At 43.7% G+C, this 20924-nt stretch overlaps 1 protein-coding gene across 6 annotated transcripts in view; it reads left to right on the forward strand.

Moving 5' to 3' along the window:
* The window catches only part of DNAH9 (dynein axonemal heavy chain 9), a 371279-nt gene that overhangs the window by 161216 nt on the left and 189139 nt on the right, over window positions 1-20924 (forward strand). For all 6 annotated transcript variants that reach the window (XM_011523703.3, NM_001372.4, XM_017024292.3 and 3 more), the window contains 3 exons: window positions 3755-3929; window positions 8768-8941; window positions 9437-9644. In XM_011523703.3, coding sequence (XP_011522005.1) covers window positions 3755-3929; window positions 8768-8941; window positions 9437-9644 — 557 coding nt within the window. The remainder of the gene's footprint in view (window positions 1-3754; window positions 3930-8767; window positions 8942-9436; window positions 9645-20924) is intronic.

A 20924-nucleotide genomic window follows, 5' to 3' on the forward strand; every position in this document is an offset into this window, starting at 1 on the left:
CTAATTTTTTTTTTTTTTTTGGTCAGAGTCTCGCTCTGTAGACCAGGCTGGAGTGCAATGGCGTGATCTCAGCTCACTGCAACCTCTGCCTCCTGGGTTCAAGCTATTCTCCTGCCTCAGCCTGCCAAGTAGCTGGGACTACAGGCACGTGCCACCATGCCCAGCTAATATTTTGTATTTTTAGTAGAGATGGGGTTTCACCATGTTGGCCAGGATGATCTTGATCTCTTGACCTTGTGATGTGGCCGCCTCGGCCTCCCAAAGTGCTGGGATTACAGGCGTGAGCCACCGCACCCAGCCTAATTTTTGTATTTTTAGTAGAGACAGGGTTTTGCCATGTTGACCAGGCTGGTCTCAAACTCCTGACCTCAGGTGATCCGCCTGCCTCAGTATCCCAAAGTGCTGAAATTATAGGTATAAGCCACTGTGCCCGCCTACACCACCTTTTAAATTCAATCATCCATTGATGGAAACTCAGGTTGATTCCATGACTTCGCTATTGTGAATAGTGCTGCAATAAACATAAGAGTGCAGGTATCTTTTTGATAAAATAATTTCTTTTCCTTTGCATCCCCGTTCTTTAGGATTTTCCTGAGACACTTGTCCCATATATCCTTTAACTAAAAGTCTGCTATTTCTCACTCTGGGCATTTAGAACAAGAGATGGCAAGCTCATGTGTCTTTGTTTGTGCATGTGTGCCGGTGCATGCACAAGCCTTTGAAACAGCTTTGAATATTCTGACTGTATTAAGTCTATCCAGAGGCAACTCTCCCCCGAACTCTCAATTATGGGTGCTCACTCTGGGTGTAATGTCTTTTGTTGTTAGTTTTTTTTATTTTTATTTTTTTTTTGAGACGGAGTCTTGCTCTGTCGCCCAGGCTGGAGTGCAGTGGCGCGATCTTGGCTCACTGCAACCTCTGCCTCCCAGGTTCAAGAGATTCTCCTGCCTCAGCCTCCCGAGTATCTGGGACTACAGGTGCATGCCACCACACCCAGCTAATTTTTATATTTTTGGTAGAAACGGAGTTTCACCATGTTTGCCAGGATGGTCTCAATCTCTTGACCTCGTGATCTGCCCTCCTCGGCCTCCCAAAGTGCTGGGATTACAGGCGTGAGCCGCCGCGCCCGGCGGATGTCTTTTCACTCTCACAGCCACCCTGCGGATGGGGGAGCTGCAGCTCCGCGATGCTCCCCTGGCATCATAGCCAGTTAGTAACAGGCACTTGCTTTAAAGCCTTCCTTCTATTTTATACAGTCACAGTGTTGTAATGCCAGCTTCATGTGGCCCTGTCACTACGAAGCCGTGTCATGTCAACAGATAATAATTTTTTATTGAATAAGCAGGCCCATAAGGGGCAATTATAAAGCAGCTTTATTTTATTTCCTACTGTTCCTTTAAAACCATTGTATGTGACTAGTTCTTCTCCTGACCCTGCATGAGATCTAGGTCAAGGTCTATGACTTTTCTGTAATAAAAAGGCATCTGATCACTTCTAGTCACACAGTCATACATACACATGTGTGTTAGTCCAGTGAAAATATAAAGAAACAAACTCCATTCATAATGGAGGCTTCTGCCCCACCTGCCTCAGCTCAGGACTGCAATGGGAAAGAGGCGTGTTTTTGACTTCTCTCCTTTATCTGCCAGTGACCAGCTCCCTGGCTATGACTTCTGACCCATCGCTGTAAAAGCGGGGTGGAGAGAAGAGGGGAAATCCGACTTCTCTTTGATAGTTTTTGGGAGCTCCTTGGCTCCTCCCCATCACTGGAAATCTTTCATCTGTTATTCTGGAAGAAAGAAACTGCTTCTCTAGCTGGTCAGGTCCCGCTCCCACACAAACCCCATCTGCCTCACCTTATCCCTTAGCCAAGCACTCAGACAACCCCTGCTGCACACAGCCCACACCTGGATTCCAGGAGATGCTTGCCCCTTCTCTGCTTTGACAAACTGGAGCACAGGCTGCCCCTGCAAGTTACCTCCCCACTCTCCACTGGGAGATCAGCAAGTCTCGGGGGTTTTCCAGGCAAGAGTCCTTCACCAACTCGGAGTAACCCTATTGAAGCCCCTTTCCCTGGCTATTAGGGGAAAGCAGCTACCTTCCCTGTGCAGGAGGGGACACTCATTGCCTACCCAGAGCTCTCTCTAGTACTCTGATTGCTAATTTCCAGGCCTTCCAGCCTTTCCACTTTGTCCTCTGTACTCTTGAGAGGGTGAGAAGCCAGGGTTGCAAAACCCTCTGCGAGTCCCACCTAAGTTGTCTAGAATCTCTGTTTGGAATGGAAGGGCAGTTGGCACCTATCCTCTTGGTGGCATATCCAGCACTGAGCCCAAGAGAGTTGTGTTATATCCGTCTGTTACAAATACACATCAAACAAATGAGGGAACACCCATCAAGGAGTCAGTCTTCTCGTCACTCATGGAAGTAATACCTAGATTACTAGACTCTAAAACTGTCATAGCATTTGTTGTAAGAATTGCAATTAGATTCAAAACCAGCACAAATGCTAAAAAGTGAATGGCGTGCTGTGCAGCTCTCAGGTTCAGTGCTGGGAAATGACTGTTAAGGTGTCCATTGACAGTGCTGTATTTGTTATGAAAACGGACTCTGCCTCCATGCTGCCTATGAACACTTCATCCTGTGGGAGGTGGCAATGTGGGCTGAGTGTGTGGGTACGTGGTGTGCTCTGCATATACATGTGGTGTGATGAGGATACCTATGGGAAGAAAAGTATGTGTGTGTGAGCTTGTGCATGCTCCTGCTGCATGAGGCATAGGATGTCTTTTGTGCATCTCTTGATATCTGCCTTTCAATTAAGGCCTCTAAAGCCAAGATTAAAAGTGCAAACACCAGGCCAGGGCAGAGTTACAGAGGTGTATTTTCAGTTGAAGAACTCCATTCAGTTCATCATGATTGTATAAAATAACCATCTGTCCTGGTCCACTCTACTTCCCAGATAAGATCCTGGCCCCAGAAAAAGTGTTTTTGGTGTTTTCAATGGAAGGAAACCTCTGAGGTGAAGAGGTAGAAGGGCAAGCCTCAGAAATGCACCAAAATTGCCTCTTTAGGTGCGTTTTTTTTTTTGTTTTTTTTTTTTTTTTTTTTTTTTTTTGAGATGGAGTCTCACTCTGTAACCCAGGCTGGAATGCAGTGGCCCGATCTCAGCTCACTGCAAGCTCCGCCTCCCGGGTTCACGCCATTCTTCTGCCTCAGCCTCCCAAGTAGCTGGGAGTACAGGTGCCCGCCACCGTGCCCGGCTAATTTTTTGTATTTTTAGTAGAGACGGGGTTTCACCATGTTAGCCAGAATGGTCTCGATCTCCTGACCTCGTGATCCTCCCTCCTCAGCCTCCCAAAGTGCTGGGATTACCGTTGAGGTGCTTTTTGACAATTGCAGAAAGTGTGAAATGAGCGAAAAAGTTACTTGTTGCAGCCACCTGTGTTCCCCAGGTACTGAGAGGGGATCATCAACAGAAAGAGAAGAGGGAAGAAGAAGTGGGAGGGGGAGGGTGTCAGAGGAAAGGAGATGAGAAAGTCCTCAGGAGAGCTCTGGGCCCTTACTTCCTTACAAAGGAAGCTGGCGCGAGAACAGCTGATGAGAATAAAGGCTTAAGTGGCGCTCTGGTTGTCTGTAATCCCAAAGAACTTGACGGACCATGAGTCCACTGAAACTGAGTGGTTCCATAGCTGTCCAACAGCACCACCAGAATGGAATATCCTCTGTGTTTCAGATCCCCTCGGGTCTCTCTTTGCAGGTTTAAGAAGATCATTCCCATCCCAGAGCAGAGCATGGTTCAGATGGTGTGTCACCTTCTGGAATGTCTCCTGACCACGGAGGACATCCCTGCAGACTGCCCTAAGGAAATTTATGAGCATTATTTTGTGTTTGCTGCCATCTGGGCTTTCGGCGGAGCAATGGTCCAAGATCAGGTAAGGAGATATGTTGAGCTCAACAACCACACTGAAGTCTGTAGCAGCAAAAACTGATCCTTTAGCAAAGATTTGGAAGACAGGACAGCTAAATGTCAGAATGGACTTGAAAGCAGCAAACTATTTAGTCATCTACCTATTACTCTGCTAAAGACATCAGTTGTCCTAGCCAGACCTCATAGGGTGAGATACATGAGGTCGTGGTGTGTTCGGAGCTTTTCCTTTTTGAGCTACTGAACATATCTTTGATTTCTTGGGAACTTATACAGTGTTTGAGTTTGAACAACTGCTGGTATATATGCACTACTTTGCCAGGTGGTGTGTTTGTGGAGAGAGGGGTGGAAGGAGGCTGTGCCGTGGAAGCTTGAGTGGAAGGAAACCCTTCAGTTTTCTTAAAAACCTCTAGAACAAGGATGTACCACTCCCTACCAGGCCAGAGTTAACTATCATATCTCCATACGCGCGAAACTCAAAGCTGTCCAGAGAAGGCTGGACCAAAGTCTAATTAGCATCTAGGATTGGAAAACCAAAGTGGAATTTATCTTATAGTGTTGACTGCTATAGTCTCATGTTGATTGGAAGAAGGGATATGTGGCTTGGAATATCCTTGCATCCTGTCCCCCAACCCTTCTTGTATTCCCAGCATTTTTCTTTACTTATTTTTCTCCAAATAAAAGATATTTTATCTAGAAAGAAAAATATTCAATATTATGCAAACCAGTCTCCTATAACTGACTCTAGCTATTAGGCATTATTGTATGACAGTTAAGAACATGGACTCTGTTAGCAAATTTTAAGTATACAATACAGTATTGTTACTATAGGAACTTTCCTGTACAGAAGATTTATTCATCTTGAACTTAATCATTTTTATAACCAAAATTTTGTACCCTTTGACCTATACCTTCCATTGCTCCCTCCCCCAGCCACTGGCAACCTCAATTCCTCTCTCTGCTTCTGTGAATTGACTATTTTAGCTGTATCATGTAAGTGATATCATGTCAGATTTGTTCTTCTGTGCCTGGCTTATTTCACCTAGCATAACAGTCTCCAGGTTCATCACGTTGTTGCAAATGGAAAGATTTCCTTTTTCTTAAAAAAAAAAATTGCGAAGAGGGAAGATAAATCTTACATCAAATGTTCTTAGCACAAAACAACAATAACAATAACAACGATAAATAAGAGCATGGAAGGGAACTTTGAAGGTGATATGTAGGTTTATGCATAGATTGTGGCGATGGTTTCACAAGTGTATACTTTTTTCCAAACTCATCACATCATATGCATTAAATATGTGCAGCTTTTTGTATATCAGTCATACCACAATAAAGTGATTTTAAAAAATAGCTGAGAAAAGCAAAAATAAAAGCAAAAAAGAACATGAACTGTGGATTTGAATTGTAGCTCTGCCACTATTATCTGGGGAACGTTAGGAAAGTAACTTAACCTCTCTCTACCTTACTCTCCCCATGTGCACAAAGAATGATCATAGGGGTACCCAGCTCCTAGGAGGGTGGCGAGGACTAAGTGAATGCATAATGTTCTAATCACTCAGCATGAATACATGCAAGGTACTTAGCACAACCCATGGGTGCTTATTATTACTATTCTTCTAGTAAAAATATTCAGTTCTGTAGCACGTATCTGGTGTCTCTCTTGCAACAGGGGATCAGACCAAGCTGTAATTGTTGGAAAGTTATCATTTACTCTTCTCAGTCTGGATTGATTGTGAGCCTCTTTCAAAGGAAGGTAGAAAGTTTCAGCCTCCCAAGGCAAAACCATGTTCTAGAAATCCAAAATGAAAGTGAACTTGGACAAAAAAGAATTTGCAATTAACTTCTTTTTCATTTTCAAGGGCCCTGGCTGTTAACATCCGTCCTACCAACCATCACTCCCTGATGTGTTCTTTGGTGCTCAAAATTCAGAAAGCAGCTCTCGCAGGCTCTCAGGAAGTGCACCTTTCTCTACTGCCCTCCCCAGAGACAGATGCCCTGGAGGCAGAAAGGGAAGTCTCCAAGGACAGGAGGATACATGAGCCAGGAGTTTGACATCTGAGAATTTTCTGCTGTCTGTTCTGTAGTCTTTGGAGCTTCTCTGTGGACTACTCCTTTGACAGCTTTACATTTCCCCTTTGAGGCAAGGAGGCAAAGATTTCAGCAGGATGGATGAGACCTGGCTGAACTGCACAGAGATCCCGAATGCATAGGTTTAATTGCTCCCCGTCAAATGCAGTCTCTGACCTGTGGGCTGGGAAAACGTCAGACAGCGACTGCTGAGCTACTCTCTCATATTGGTGGTGCGCAGGCAGTGGAGTATCAGGATGAAAATATGTGATCAATTTTTCTAACTCTGGGTATAAAAATTTAAATCCCCTCAAGCCTTTTAAAAGCCCCGGAGAAAGCATCCCTCCAGGCGTCCTGCGCACTGGAGCACTTGAAGCAATTGACAGCCCTGCCAGCAACCTGGGAAGAGGACAAGGGAGAAAGCTTTTAGCAGCAGGGCACATCCCAGACCCCTACACTGCCTGCATTAAAAGCTAAACACCAAAAATAGTGCTGTCAATAGGAAGGTAGGAGTTTGGTCAAAATATTCACATCAGGAACAGCAATGGTGCTTACATTGAAAAAAACTGTCATAAAAGCAAAGCAGAAATACAAAATGGAGGCTATACCTGAGTAGAAGTTCCCATTTAAAAAAAAAAAAAAGTCCTGGCTGAATACCTTGCAGCCCTTAGAGAGAACAATCTCTCGGAAACGTAAGGTAGAGAAAACACCAGATTGTGAGACTGACAACCTGGGTTCAACTCCCAATTCTGTCGTTTCATAAAACCCCCACTTTATAAAATGGGAGTGATTTTAAGTAACCAGGATAACCTATAGCATTGTGAAAATGAAGCGAAGTAACACTGGGTTCCCAGCTCTACCACAGTATGCCAGTAAAGTCCTCATGTCCTCCAGGTTAAAGGGCAGAGAGAAAACAGTGAACTGTGAGAGCCCAGGGGACATGGGGACTTCAGAAGGGACCATGCTGAAGAGATACCATGGAGTGGAATTAAGAAAGGATCATTGGGCTGGGTGCGGTGGCTCACGCCTGTAATCCCAGCACTTTGGGAGGCCAAGGCGGGTGGATCATGAGGTCCGTAGTTCAAGACCAGCCTGGACAATATGGTGAAACCCCATCTCTACTAAAAATACAAAAAATTAGCCGGGCTTGGGCATGGTGGCGGGTGCCTGTAATCCCAGCTACTCGGGAGGCTGAGGCAGAGAACAGCTTGGACCCGGGAGGCAGAGGTTGCCGTGAGCTGAGATCGCGCCACTGCCCTCCAGCCTGGGCAACAGAGCAAGACTCTGTCTCAAAAAAAAAAAAAAAAAGAAAGAAAAGGAAAAAGAAAGGACCACTGGACTGGCCCAGCAGAGGTCACCTTGACTTTACAGTGTCCAATTATAGTACAAGGTGCGGTCAAGCACCAGCTTACAGGAAGGTGAGACAATGTCGGTGTGGCCCAGCCAAGGGCTTAGCTGGGAAATTGCCAGGCATCTCAAGGCAGCATCGGGGCTGAGGAAACAAGACCCACCCTTCCTTCCTTCTAGAGGTGGCCTTCATCTCAGAGTTTCCATAGAAACCTAAAATCTGGTTTTCGTAGAAAGTTGAAGGTCTTGAAGCGTATTATCTAGGAGTTAAGAATGGGGGTTTCCTCTAGGCTTCTGGTTCCAGAGAACAATATTGGGAAGTTATAACGTCCCCTTGATCTAAATTCAAATCAGAATGAGAACATCAAACAAATCTTTTCTTATCTTACCACCCATTTCCACTCTCATTTTAAAGCAAAAGAATTCAATCCTATTTATTTAACAGCAAAATGAGGAGTGCCCTTTTTTCGGGTTTCATAGTTGTTACCATGTGCCCAGCTCCCTGGTCTCTTCAGCCTTTAAACTGTCATTGTCCTGCCCTCCATGAATATTTCCTAAAATGACCAATATGGGACTTTTTTTTTCCTTTAGGATTTTTCTTAGTTCAGTGTGTTTAAAGAATGGGTTTGCCCTCCCAAAGAGTTGCCAGTAGTAATGGGTATGTTTTGGGTCTGAGTGTGTGTGTGTGTGTTTGGACACAATAAGATGGTTTGAGTACACTGGGTATACAGCCCCATGCGTAAGGGGCCCATTATCTAATAGGTATGCATGCAAATTATATGCTTCTACCTATTCCTTCTGTCAGAAAAACCAGTACAGCTCTGTCTCCCCCACTGCTCCTAGATTCTAGGATTTTAGCTCTTGCAAGAACCTTGGAAATCTTTCCAGAAACCTCATTTTGCAGACGAGGAGATTGAGGCATAGAAAGAAGGATTTGCCTGTGGTTACCTAGCTGATACCCAAACCCCTTCTGAGGCTCTTCTCACTGCAGCGCTCTGTGCCCCAGGTGTCAAGAGTCACCATTCCATTCCAACCTTAGGCTGCCATCCTGGGAACTGCAGAGAATCTCAGGCACCGAAGAATGGGGCCAATCTACCTCTTCAGGAGTTCTTGATTCTCCCCCGTGTTCTTCCACCTCCCTCCCTCAACCATCTCCACCCTTCAGTGGCTGTAAGACATGGCAGGACCAGGCTGGCTCAGCCGCATGGTCAAGCAAGGATGCCTGTGCGTGGCCCCTGCGTAGTCCGGCTTGGTCAGGGTTGACCCTTGGGGCAGCGCTGCCTTCCTGGAGGAGCTGGTCTAGCCGGCAGGCCCACACAGGGAGGAGCACGTTGTCCTGCCCTGACCTTCTATCTGACGCCGTGGCCTCCTGTGTGGGCTTCTTGAGTTCTGGAGGACCTTGTCCCCTGACTGTCTTTGTTTTTGCAGCTTGTGGACTACCGGGCAGAGTTCAGCAAATGGTGGCTGACTGAGTTCAAAACAGTCAAGTTTCCTTCCCAAGGAACCATCTTTGACTATTACATCGACCCAGAGACCAAGAAATTCGAGCCTTGGTCCAAGCTCGTCCCCCAGTTCGAATTTGACCCCGAGATGCCCTTGCAGGTGAGTGCAGCTGAGCAGCCGAGGACGTGCGTGCAGTTGCCCTCAAGGATCTGCAGTGGCTCCAGTAGCAGCCCCGCATGGCTATCTGAGCATTTGTCCTTGCTAGGAACTAGTCATCCCCAGCTCCATGACTTTGCAGAGGAGATGATGGGTGTAATGAAGTCACAGATTCTACTAAAGGCCAGGACATTTCCTCAAGAGAGGAGGAAATGGCAGGGGCAGAAGATTTTAAAATGCATTAGAGAGGCCACAGAGAAAGAGGCCCGGGTGGTAGAGGAGAGCGGGGAAGCTCTCTGCCTAACTGCGGGGAGCCCAGAGAGTGAGTCTGTAGAATGGTCCCACTGTGAACATCAGGGAAGATACTCCTGACCGGTGCTTATTTGGGGAGCTCCATCGTGACGGAATCCCCTGTTCTGAAATGCTTCGGAACGCCGCTGGTGCATCTGTTTCTCCCTAGAGCCCACCCTTGGCAGGCTTATTGTGCTCCCATTCCAGGCGTGTTTGGTGCACACGAGTGAGACCATCCGTGTGTGCTACTTCATGGAGCGGTTGATGGCGCGGCAGCGGCCTGTCATGCTGGTGGGCACGGCTGGCACTGGCAAGTCGGTGCTGGTGGGAGCTAAGCTGGCCAGCCTTGACCCCGAGGCATACCTGGTGAAAAACGTGCCATTCAACTACTACACCACGTCAGCAATGCTGCAGGGTAAGCAGCCCAGGGCACCTGGGGTGGGGGGCATCTGGGTGGCCGTGTCACCTGACACAGAGCTGAAGCCAAGCGTCAGGTGCCTGCCTGACTTGAGTTCTGCATACCCCAGCACTGCGCACTTCCTCCCACACGCCCCTTCTCACCTCTCCCTACACACCTCTTTCTGGCTCCTCCAGCACCCCTTAGCACTGCTTCTGGTCTTTCTTTCTACATTCCTCCCTGGTCTGTTAAATTCCTCAAGAGCAAGGTGTTCAACACAGAGCAGTTCAGCACCTTGATGACAAAGAGAGCTACAAGCCATGGAGAGATTTGCAAGAACTTGCAGACTTCCGGCACTGAAAGTATCTCTAGAGATCATTTAATTCATCTCTCATATGTTATGGGTGGGGAAACTGAGGCTCAGGTAAAAGGATGTGATTGCCCAAAGTCACCACCAAGTGGTGAGGCAGGCATGACACATCTGGTCTGACTCCACCTGGGGCTTGCTTTTCCCCGGTGTTTACACACAGAGCTCCCAAATAGACATGGGCCACCGGTGATGTTTTACCCTTGCCAGAGTCTCTCTCCCCTTAACTCATTTACGACACAGTCTCCTTTTTTATGGAAACAACACATTAACTAAAACAGCTTTGTTTTGGAGAAGCTTCCAAGCCATTCTTCCAACAAAATGAGGGGAGAGGCAGGGCTGGGGAGAAACCCTGTTCTTACTTCCCAAACACCGACAGCCTTGTCCCACTCTGTTACTTGGTCTGAGCTTTCCCAGGTGACACTGCAGTGCCTCCCCACACCTAGATATGAGCTGTTTGCAGCTGGATAAGTTAGGAGCCATAGCTTATAATGTGAAAAGTGAACCTGGCACTCTCGTTATCCGCTACATCACCCAGGCCTTAGGCCAGCAGACTTGCAAAGCAGGCTTCGTGTGCACCACCACTTGCTCTGCCATGACCATTTTACCCAGTCTTTCTGCCATCCCTGCCTGGTGTAAACCAGAGTCAGCCCGCGATGTTGCCTCTGCTGACACTCTGCTTTCCCCAGTGCCCCTGGGGGAATTCTTTCTGCAAAGTTTTGCCAGCTCTTGTAGGATTAGGGTCTAGCCAACTCAAAATGCTGATGGGGGGGAGCACCACCTCTGCTCTCTGCCCCTCAGAGCAGCTAGGTGCCTGGAGCATGTGGACAGAGATTCCGGCTTCCCCCCACCCGCCCTTCGATGGCAGAGACTTCTTCACCTATTTCAAACTCACCTCTAGACTTCATCCACTGCTGAGCCAATCCCAATCCAGCAACTGACTGTAGTTCAGACATGAAAATTAACAAGTAAGACAAAATGAAGCAACAAAGATTTACATCAGAACTTTACTAGTTTGTCAAAGATGTAAACATCTTCTATTCAAGTACTGAAGGAATCGTTCTTCCATTTTTTGTGCTCTTCACAATGTCACAGCAACAAGCATGACATACTTTTAAGTATAATCTGTATTATTAACATTTTCCTTATATTTTCACAAGTCTACAAAACAAATCAAACCCTGGTTTGTGGTGTTTGCCAATTTCCATGGTGTAAATACTCCCACCGTGGCCAATTGTAAGCTACCAATGCAATGTCAGTGAACAAGGAGTCAGGAAGAGATACACAGTAGCACACCATTATAAACATTTCCACTTCACAGATACAATGGATGAAAATAACCTCCAGTATACACATGATAGTAAATGTCATAAAATGTGATGAGTTTTGAATATTTATTACCATGATTTTCAATATAATTTACTTAATTTTAAGTTTATCTATACCTATTTATTTATTTATTTTTGAGATGGAGTTTCACTCTTTGTCACCCAGGCTGGAGTGCAGTGGCATGAGGCTTGGCTCACTGCAACCTCTGCCTCCCGGGTTCAAGCAATTCTCTTGTCTCAGCCTCCCAAGTAGCTGGGATTACAGGCACCTGCCAAGACACCCAGCTAATTTTTGGATTTTTAGTGGAGACAGGGTTTCACCATGTTGGCCAGGCTGGTCTCGAACTCCTGACCTCAGGTGATCCACCTGCCTCGGCCTCCCAAAGTGCTGGGATTACAGGTGTGAGCCACTGCAGCCAGCCTAATTTATTTTTTAATAATGGTCATGTTTAACAACCAGCTTGCACAATTCCCTTGGTTTCAATAATCAGCTCCAATAAACCACTGGCTTAGTCCTTACTCCATGAAGCCTCAATACTATCATATCTTAACCTTCCATCAAGGCCGAAGTCATCACATCAGCACCTGGCAGTGGCCTTAAGCCGACTTCACCTGTCTGGCTAATTTAAATCTTAGCAGTTCGCTGTCTGCCTCATAGAATTCCTCTTTCTTGTTCAAATATGTACCCTTATTTTCAAGCCTTGAGTCCAACAACTGATCAGATTACCAGCTCTGCCCATTTACCTCAATTCTTACTACTGTTACAACTACACTACTACTACTAATAATAATAATAATAGCAACAACAACAACTGACATTTATCAAAGACTTATCAGGAGTGTGAATCTGACTTAGACTTTTACACTTTTCTCTTTTTTTACTTCTTAAATCTTGTACAGCCCTGTGAATAAGAATTTGTATTACCTTCATTTTATACATGAGAAAACTAAGGCACAGAGAAGTTAAACAAGCTACCTTATGACACACAGTAAGTTGGGGAGCCAAGGTTTGACCCCAGAGAGTCTGACTTCAGAGCCTGTGCTCTTAACCACTAGGCTATACTGCTTCCCTGCTAAGAAAATACTTTGAAAGCTGCAATAAATATTCAACATTATTACTATTATCATTAGGAGTACTATTCAAGTATTCCAGAGGAATGTTTTTGTATTTAATTGATTTTCTATTTAAATGATTTTCTATTTAATTTTACTAAATAGAATAATAATTTATTCTAAAATTATTAAAATTAATAATCTAATAAAATTAAACAGAAAAAGTGATTTAATTCTATTAAAGTGGTTTTATAATATTTTTAAAATATCCTTTAAATAGAGGGTAAACATTTGGAAGCAAGGAAGAGAAGATGAGTTTCTCACACTGCCCTGACCTGTCATTCTCACTCTGGATCTCTCACCTAGAGGGCTTTCTCCTTCCCTCCTGTTAGAACACAGAGAATTTCTTTTTTTCTTTCTTGAGACAGAGTCTCGCTCTCTCACCCAGGCTGGAGTGCAGTGGTGTAATCTTGGTTCATTGTATCCTCTGCCTCCTAGGTTCAAGCGATTCTCCTGCCTCAGCCTCCCCAGTAGTGACTACAAAAAAATCTCAAAATGCTATTAAATAGGGCCGAGATGAAAACTGGCTCTCACTGTAGCTGAGCATTCACCAAAACCCAACACTTTCTGTTTCTTGTTAATTCCCTAATGGCCTCTTGGTAACGTTAGATCTTGAAGCCAACCCTCCTAGCACACTAAGGGATGGAGAAAGCTACTGTTCCATAACCTCTCCTGTCCAGAGGCAACCAGGAATTGGGGAGTCAGCCGAAGCCCAGAGTAGCAGCATATATGTTACAACATTCATGCAATAAAGCTCAGATCCTTAACTCTGAAAAATGCTGTATTCCCTTATGGGAACTTCCTTCCTCTTGCCTTGTTCACAGTGCAAACAATCTTGATTATTTGGGCTTCTTAGCCCAAGACATTTTAAGAGCAACAAAATGGCAGAAGAAAGGGTGTTACCAACGATTTAAAAAGTGACAGCTAGAAACCAGGTATCAAACAGGAATTTGGAGAATCAGCTGAATGTAAGAGAGATGTGTAAACTCAAAAGACAGCTGCTCTAGTATCATTCAATGAAGAGGCAAACTGTTGCACCTCCTTCATGAACCCGTTAACTCATTTTGCAGCCCAGTGTCTTAATCGTTATTTGCACTTGAGACCCTGTGTATTTAAGAAAAAGTTGGATGTGAGGTGGCATAGTCTGCTTGAAAGGACAGTTAGAACACCCAGACAGATGTGCAAATTTATGTTTATAATGTGTCTGTAATGGTAAAAGGGGAGAAACAGCCTAATTGTCTGTATGATAGAATACTAAGCAATGTTGGAAAGAATGAGAAAATTCTGTAGGCACTGAGTTGGAACTATTTCCAAAATTTTGTTGAGTGAGAAAAGGAAGATATAGAACAGTATATATAGCATGCTCCAAACTGTATCTTGTTTAAAAAGAAATATATAAAAATTTACTCACTTATATGATTTTTTAAAATATATATAATATATACACATACACATAATTTATGCTTATATAAAAACTTAGACAATCTCCAGAAGGACACAAAAGAAACACAGACAGCAGTTGTCCCTGGCAAGGGAAACTGACTGGGTGCTGAGGGTGGAATAGAGAATTATTTAAACCTTTTATGTTTAATTATAAAATATTTCAAACATGTACAAAAGTACAGAAAACAATATAACAGATGCCAGTGTAGCACTATCCAGATTTAACAGATGCTAAAGTGTTAGCATTATGCTAAATGGAACTTAGCCTTATGAGTGCAGCTAATAAGTGGGGCGTGGAGGCTCATGCCTGTAATCCCAGCACTTTGGGAGGCTGAGGCGGGCAGATCACCTGAGGTCAGGAGTTCGAGACCAGCCTGGCCAACATGGTGAAACCCTGTCTCTATCAAAAATACAAAAAAAAAAATTAGCCAGGCGTGGTGGTGCGTGCCTGTAGTCCCAGCTACTCAGGAGGCTGAGGCAGGAGAATCGCTTAAACCTGGGAGGTTGAGGTTGCAGTGAGCCAAGATCACATCACTGCTCTCCAGCCTGGGCAACAGAGTGAGATCCCTGCCACAAAATAAAATAAAATAGAATTAAAAACAAGTACAGCTAATACACCACCCCTGTCGCTCCTTTCTCCTTCCTGCCCCTTATTAACTAGAGTACTAAACTCAATGTGTATCATTACAAGTTTACACTCTTGAAACAAATATGTAGCCATAAAATACATAGTGTTGCATACTTAAACTTTAAATTTGCCATACTATACCTTTCTTTGGCAACTTACTTGCATTAGTCTGTTCTCACACTGCTATAAAGACATTCCCGAGACTGGGTAATTTATAAAGGACAGAGGTTTAATGGACTCACAGTTCCATATGACTGGGGAAGCCTCACAGTCATGGTGGAAGGCAAAGGAGGAGCAAAAGCACATCCCACATGGTGGCAGGCAAGAGCGTGTGTGTGGGGGAACTGCCATTTATAAAGCCATCAAATCTCATGAGACTTATTCACTATCATGAGACCAGCACAGGAAACCCGTCCTCATGATTCAATTACCTCCCACCAGGTAGGACACGTAGGGATTATGGGAGCTACAATTCAAGATGAGATTAGGGTGGGGACACAGCCAACCCATATCATTACTATTTTAATCATTGTCTTAATACATGCAGATCTATTTCATATATTTTCGCTGCTGCATAGAATTCCATTGTGTGAATAAATCACAGCTCATCCTTTCTCCTACTGAAAGGCAGCATAATCTTTTTACATTTTTTCTTTTCTAAAAAAAACTATATTGAGTTATAATCGACATACAATAAACTGTACATATTTAAGGTGTACAATTTGATACATTTCAAAATATTTATACATCATGAAATCATCATAATTGAAATAATGAACATAACCGTCACCTCCAAACGTTTCCTCACGTTCCTTTGTAATCCCTTCCTCCCAACGCCCCCCACCTGCCCTGTTTCAGACAACAACTGATCTGCTTTCTATCACTATAAATTAGTTTGCATTTTCTAGAAATTTATGTAATGGAGTCACAAAATGTGCACTCTCTTTTTGCCTGGCTTCTTTCACTCAGCATGATTTTGAGATTTATCCATGTTGTTGAGTGAATCAACAGTTCATTCTTTTCATTCTTGAATAGTAAGATAAAGTATGTAAAACACTCAAAATGATTCCCAGCATACAATAAGTGCTTTGTAAATGGAAGCTGTTATTATAATCATATTAACAACATACTTCTCAAATTTAAGAATCTACATTGAACAATAATTTCTAAGCCCCAACTGCCAAAAACAAAAAAACAACAAAAGCAAACCTTTTTTGCTTGAAAAATAAGTTTAACACAAGCTATGCTAAAACAGAAATAATGTTTTGGGAAAAAATATTCCAGCTTTCAAATAGACAGTAACTCCACCCAGTAGGTCAATCCCTAGAGGTCTCCAGGGGGACTTTTTGCAGCTCATTCATCCTGCCAATCCATCAGATGCTATTTTTCTCAAAATCAGATGTTCTTTTTTTTTTTTTTTTTTTTTTTTTTTGAGACAGAGTCTTGCTCTGTCCCCCAGGCTGGAGTGCAGTGGCGCGATCTCGGCTCACTGCAAGCTCCGCCTCCTGGGTTCACGCCATTCTCCTGCCTCAGCCTCCCAAGTAGCTGGGACTACAGGCACCCGCCACCATGCCCGGCTAATTTTTTGTATTTTTAGTAGAGACGGGATTTCACCGTGGTCTCAATCTCCTGACCTCGTGATCCGCCCGCCTCGGGCTCCCAAAGTGCTGGGATTATAGGCGTGAGCCACCGCGCCGGGCCAATCAGATGTTCTTTTATAGAGGAGGCAGCTGGCTGATAATACCTGCATTTCTCCTCTCTTTCACTACATCCAGTTGTGGAGTCTCCATTGTATTTCTCTAAACATGGATTCAGAACTCCTTGATACCAGTGGGGGCTGTGCTTCCGACTTACAGTATGGATAGCACACACTTTAATGTTTACAGTTGGTCAACCCTTGTACAAAGGGCTTTCCTCACCTTAGTTCTTTAATCCTCCCCAGCCTATGAAACTATTTCAGTATGGCTTTTGACCGCAAGTAGTGGAAAATCTGACGTTAGTGGCGTAAATATTCTGTTTTTTATAAGACAGGAATTCTGAAGGTGGGCAGTTGCTAATATCAGGTTAATGACAGTGATATCAATGTTAAGATATTTGCTGTTCTCTTGGCTGCTCCTTCAAGGTGGCAGAATGGCTGCTGTATCAGCCATCACATCTGCATTCAAAAAAAAAAAAAAAAAGTGGTAGGGGGAGATAGAGCCCATGTCCTGACATGATAACTCTCCAGGAACTTTATAAACTTATGCCTATGTCTTCATGTTCAAAACTGTGCCTCATGACCACCCCAGCTGAAGACTGCCTAAAGAGAAGGAGGTTGGAAATGGTGTCCAGCACAGATCTGATGATAGTCCCCATTTTAACAAGTTAATTAAATGAAGCTTAGAGGTGTTAAGGACTTATCTCAAAGTCATCCTATGAGTTAACACCAAAGCTGTCTAATTTCATGAAACTATGAAGACCTTCTACTTTGATAAGACTTTAAGTCATACATCTTAATTTTCATAATAGAACGCCAACTCTGCTTCCACTCATCTGATATCTAGAGCATATGGATATCTTCTTCTGTGATAGTCAATATAATAGGCCCTTCCATCAGTCATTGAAAAAGTCAGCCTTCAATTGACTACTGGGTAGTCATGCACAAACCACAGGTTCATAACACTGACACCTCAAGCTGAGAGAGACAGAGATCTGTGTTCATTCTCCATTCCAGCAGTTTCTCTGAACTCCACAAACCTAGCTGTACTGCTTTCATTCCCTTCATTAAATTACAACATAATGGTCCGCCCTTGGGTTTTGTTGAGGGTTACTATAATAAAAGATAATTTTAAGTTATTTTTTATGCCTTCTGTAAAATCTCAGTTGAAGACCATTCTGTAGCCTGATATCTGTTTTATAAATATCTGTGATATATGCCTCCTAGAATTTGGTGCCTGCAAAATTTTTAGAGGAAAGAAGAGATGGCTCTGTACCAGTAACTTGAGTGAGATGACATGGTTATTGTAATTAAACACAGATTTAGTTCTGAGCTTTCAGGCAAGCAGTTCATAAAGGAAAATTTGAGATCAATTTTTACGTGTTTACAGTAACTATGTCATCCTACATTACTAGTGTAATTAAGTTTCTTCTCATTCTGTATTGTTTAGCAATCCCTATTTAGTCTTTATTGTAATTGGTCTGTTTTATGTCTCTTTAAAGACTTTAAGTCTCTTCTTGTTCTTTTTGAAAATATAAATAATTTTTAAAACAAAAGAATTCATAAAGACCCACAAGACAGAATGGTTTAGAAGCAGGATAGTTTAGAAAAGTAGGAACAAAGAGCTTGGTTAAGGCATCAATGGGCTTATAGTTTTAGTGTACAGAGAGAAGGCCAAAGATCAAGCTCATCACAGTTCTGAATTCTCTTGCCATTTGCATTATTAGCTCAACAAATATTTGAGTGCTTAATTACACTAATTATATAGGAACTCAGATGTCTGAAACTTTATGTAAAATGAATCTCTGTAACCTGTTTATTATAAACCGCAAGGTTGGACAGAACCTTAAAAGATCTAATCAAATGTCCAATCTCAAAGGGCATTGTGCTTACAATTATTACAGAAAGACAGCTCTCTCCCACCTAATACCTTTCACTTAATGACACAAATCATAGTGAAATCATCAAAGATTTATCATCTAGTGAGGAAGACATTCTACTTGGAATTGTGGAAAGTTCAAATATAGTATAATGAAATTGAAGGGGATGGATGGGGTAATACACAAGATAATAAGTAAAGATATATTAGGAGGTAACAAGTGATGTAAAGAGACATGAAGCTGGGGCAGAGGATAGCAGGTGGGGCTTTGAACTTTAGGGCGCGTACCAGGGAAGACCTTACTGGAAAAATAGCACCTGGGTAAATAAACACCTGCTGGGGTATGAGGGAGCAAACTGTGCTGGCATTTGGAAGAAGAGGATTCGAGGCAGAGGGTACAGCCAGAGCAAAGCCATGGGTCAGCGAGTGACTCATGATCAGAAACAACTACTCGGGAGGCTAAGGCAGGAGAATTGCTTGAACCCAGGAGACGGAGGTTGCAGTGAGCCAGCCAAAACAGTGCCACTGCATTCCAGCCTGGGCGACAGAGTGAGACTCCATCTCAAAAAAAAAAAAAAAAAAAAAAAAAAAAAAAAAGAAAAGGGAAGAAAAAAAAGAGAAACGGGGTGCCTGGAGCAGAGCTTGAGGAGGAGAACAGGAGAGAAAAACAAAGATGCAAGTTTAGTGGAAGTCAACAAACTGGCTTTTGCTCCAAGTGAGACAGGATGCCACTGGAGGGCATAAAACAGGGGATGGGCGTGATCCAATTTACATTTTACAAGGGTATTCTTGTCTGCCGTTTTGAGAATATGGTGTAGGGAGTCTAGGGCAAAAGCTACACATCTTACCATTTGGGAAGATGTGTAGTTACCAGGTGAGAGCAGATGGACAAGGAAGGCAGCAGTGGAGACGGCGAAAAGAGATAACAAATGGGAAGCCACTTTGAAAATTAAATTGCAGGCCGGGCACAGTGGCTCGTGCCTGTAATCCCAGCACTTTGGGAGGCTGAGGTGGGCAGATCACCTGAGGTCAGGAATTCGAGACCAGCCTAAGCAACATGGAGAAACCCCATCTCTACTAAAAACACAAAATTAGCCAGGTGTGGTGGTGTATGCCTGTAATCCCAGCTACTTGGGAGGCTGAGGCAGGAGAATTGCTTGAACCCAGGAGGCAGAGGTTGCAGTAAGCCGAGGTTGCACCACGGCACTCCAGCCTGGGCAACAAGAGTGAAACTCCATCTCAAAAAAAAAGAAGAAAATTAAATTGCCCTTCAAGTATAAGATGGCAGTGCAATAGTATCCAGAGAATGGCCATTCACCCTGGTGCAGCAGCTGACACGGGTCTGTGTGGCCAAAGACTGAACCCCAACCTGTTCCATACGGGTCTTGAGGAGAAATTCAGCCAGAATGTACAGACGACCTTGGGCCTGGGCTCCAGGTGTGGGCTTGAGTTTCCAGGCTTGTTGAGAACAGTCAGAACCCAGAAGTGTGGCGAGAGGGTCACATTTCTTTACATGTCTCATTCGTTCAGCTCCTTCAACATCAACACTTTTCCTGAAACTCAAACCCTCTTCTTCTCCTCCAATTCTACTTGGAAACAGAGTAGCTCACTGTAATTCCATCCTAGGTGTGACATGGAGCACAGCATGGCCAAGAAGGGATCAACAATGTGCCTGTCTTTCCTGGTGGACCCTTTCTTTCTCTGGAGAATTTAGGATCATCTGCCTGAGATAATCCCGTGCGCTCCATGGCCACTTCTTGCTAACTGACATGGTTTTCTCCTCAACGATCCTTTTAAAGCATAAAGAGCTTAATCAACCCAAATTACAGGGTCTGCTTAATTCCAGGGGTTGATTTGAATATCATTGCCTTGGGAGGAGGAGAAACAAGTCTTTCTAAGGAGAGAATTTCCTATTAGAAGAACTGTTCTCAAAAGCATGTCCTTGTCAACCCATGAATTATATTTCATTTTGACAGATCTCACATATAGTTGTTATATCTTTAGGGGGGAAGAAGGTGTTGTGTGATTAATTGGTTGATAGTGTATGTTAATTGGATGCTAATTAAATTTAAATTTAATTCATATTTGAAACACTTAATTTAACTCAGGACCAGAAAATTAGAATATTCGAGCTTCTTGAAGGAACTTGTCTATCTGTCACCTTCATATGTCTATTGACACTTTCTCCTTGTTTACAAACTTGTTTTTCAAGAGAAGAAATCAGATGGTTCTCAGAGCTTCCAGCTGTAACAGGAAGTGTTGGTTCTTGCAATTCATAAATATTTCATTGCTTTACTGGAAAAAGTACAGATATCTCCACCCTATTACTTAAGTTTGTTCTAAACAAGTCCTGTCATGCTGGAAAACTGCTGTTAGATCCTTCCTTTGGCTTGATAATTGAAGAAACCACTCCAGAAAAGAGTTTCTGCACTCTGTCTCCAGAAAGGCACCAAGGTGCTCAGATAGAGAGCCAGGAAACCTGAGAGCTGGGGAGGGCACCGTTCATGACACTGGAAGCATCTGGGAAATTCTCTGAGGCTGTTTTTTCTACATCCCACCAAGGAAAATCCCACGAGATGAACTCTCTGGGAACACTGTTGGCAAAACATCCATTGAGGCCTCTCTTACAGCCTCGGAGAGGAAAGGGCATCTACCCAGCCCTGGAAGGGGAGCGGCAGCCTTTATGCATTTTTGCTGCCTTTGGTAGAGAGGGCAACTCTACCCAGGATTCAACTATTCATAAGCTTCCTTGGAGTAGAGTACCTGGCCTTGGGACTGTAAAGATATTTTCCATTTTTAGTATGTAAACAAAGAAAACTGGGGACCACAAGTATGACAGAAGAA

The sequence above is a fragment of the Homo sapiens genome, chromosome 17, assembly GCF_000001405.40.
Source record: "Homo sapiens chromosome 17, GRCh38.p14 Primary Assembly".
Taxonomy (NCBI): Eukaryota; Metazoa; Chordata; class Mammalia; order Primates; family Hominidae; genus Homo; species Homo sapiens.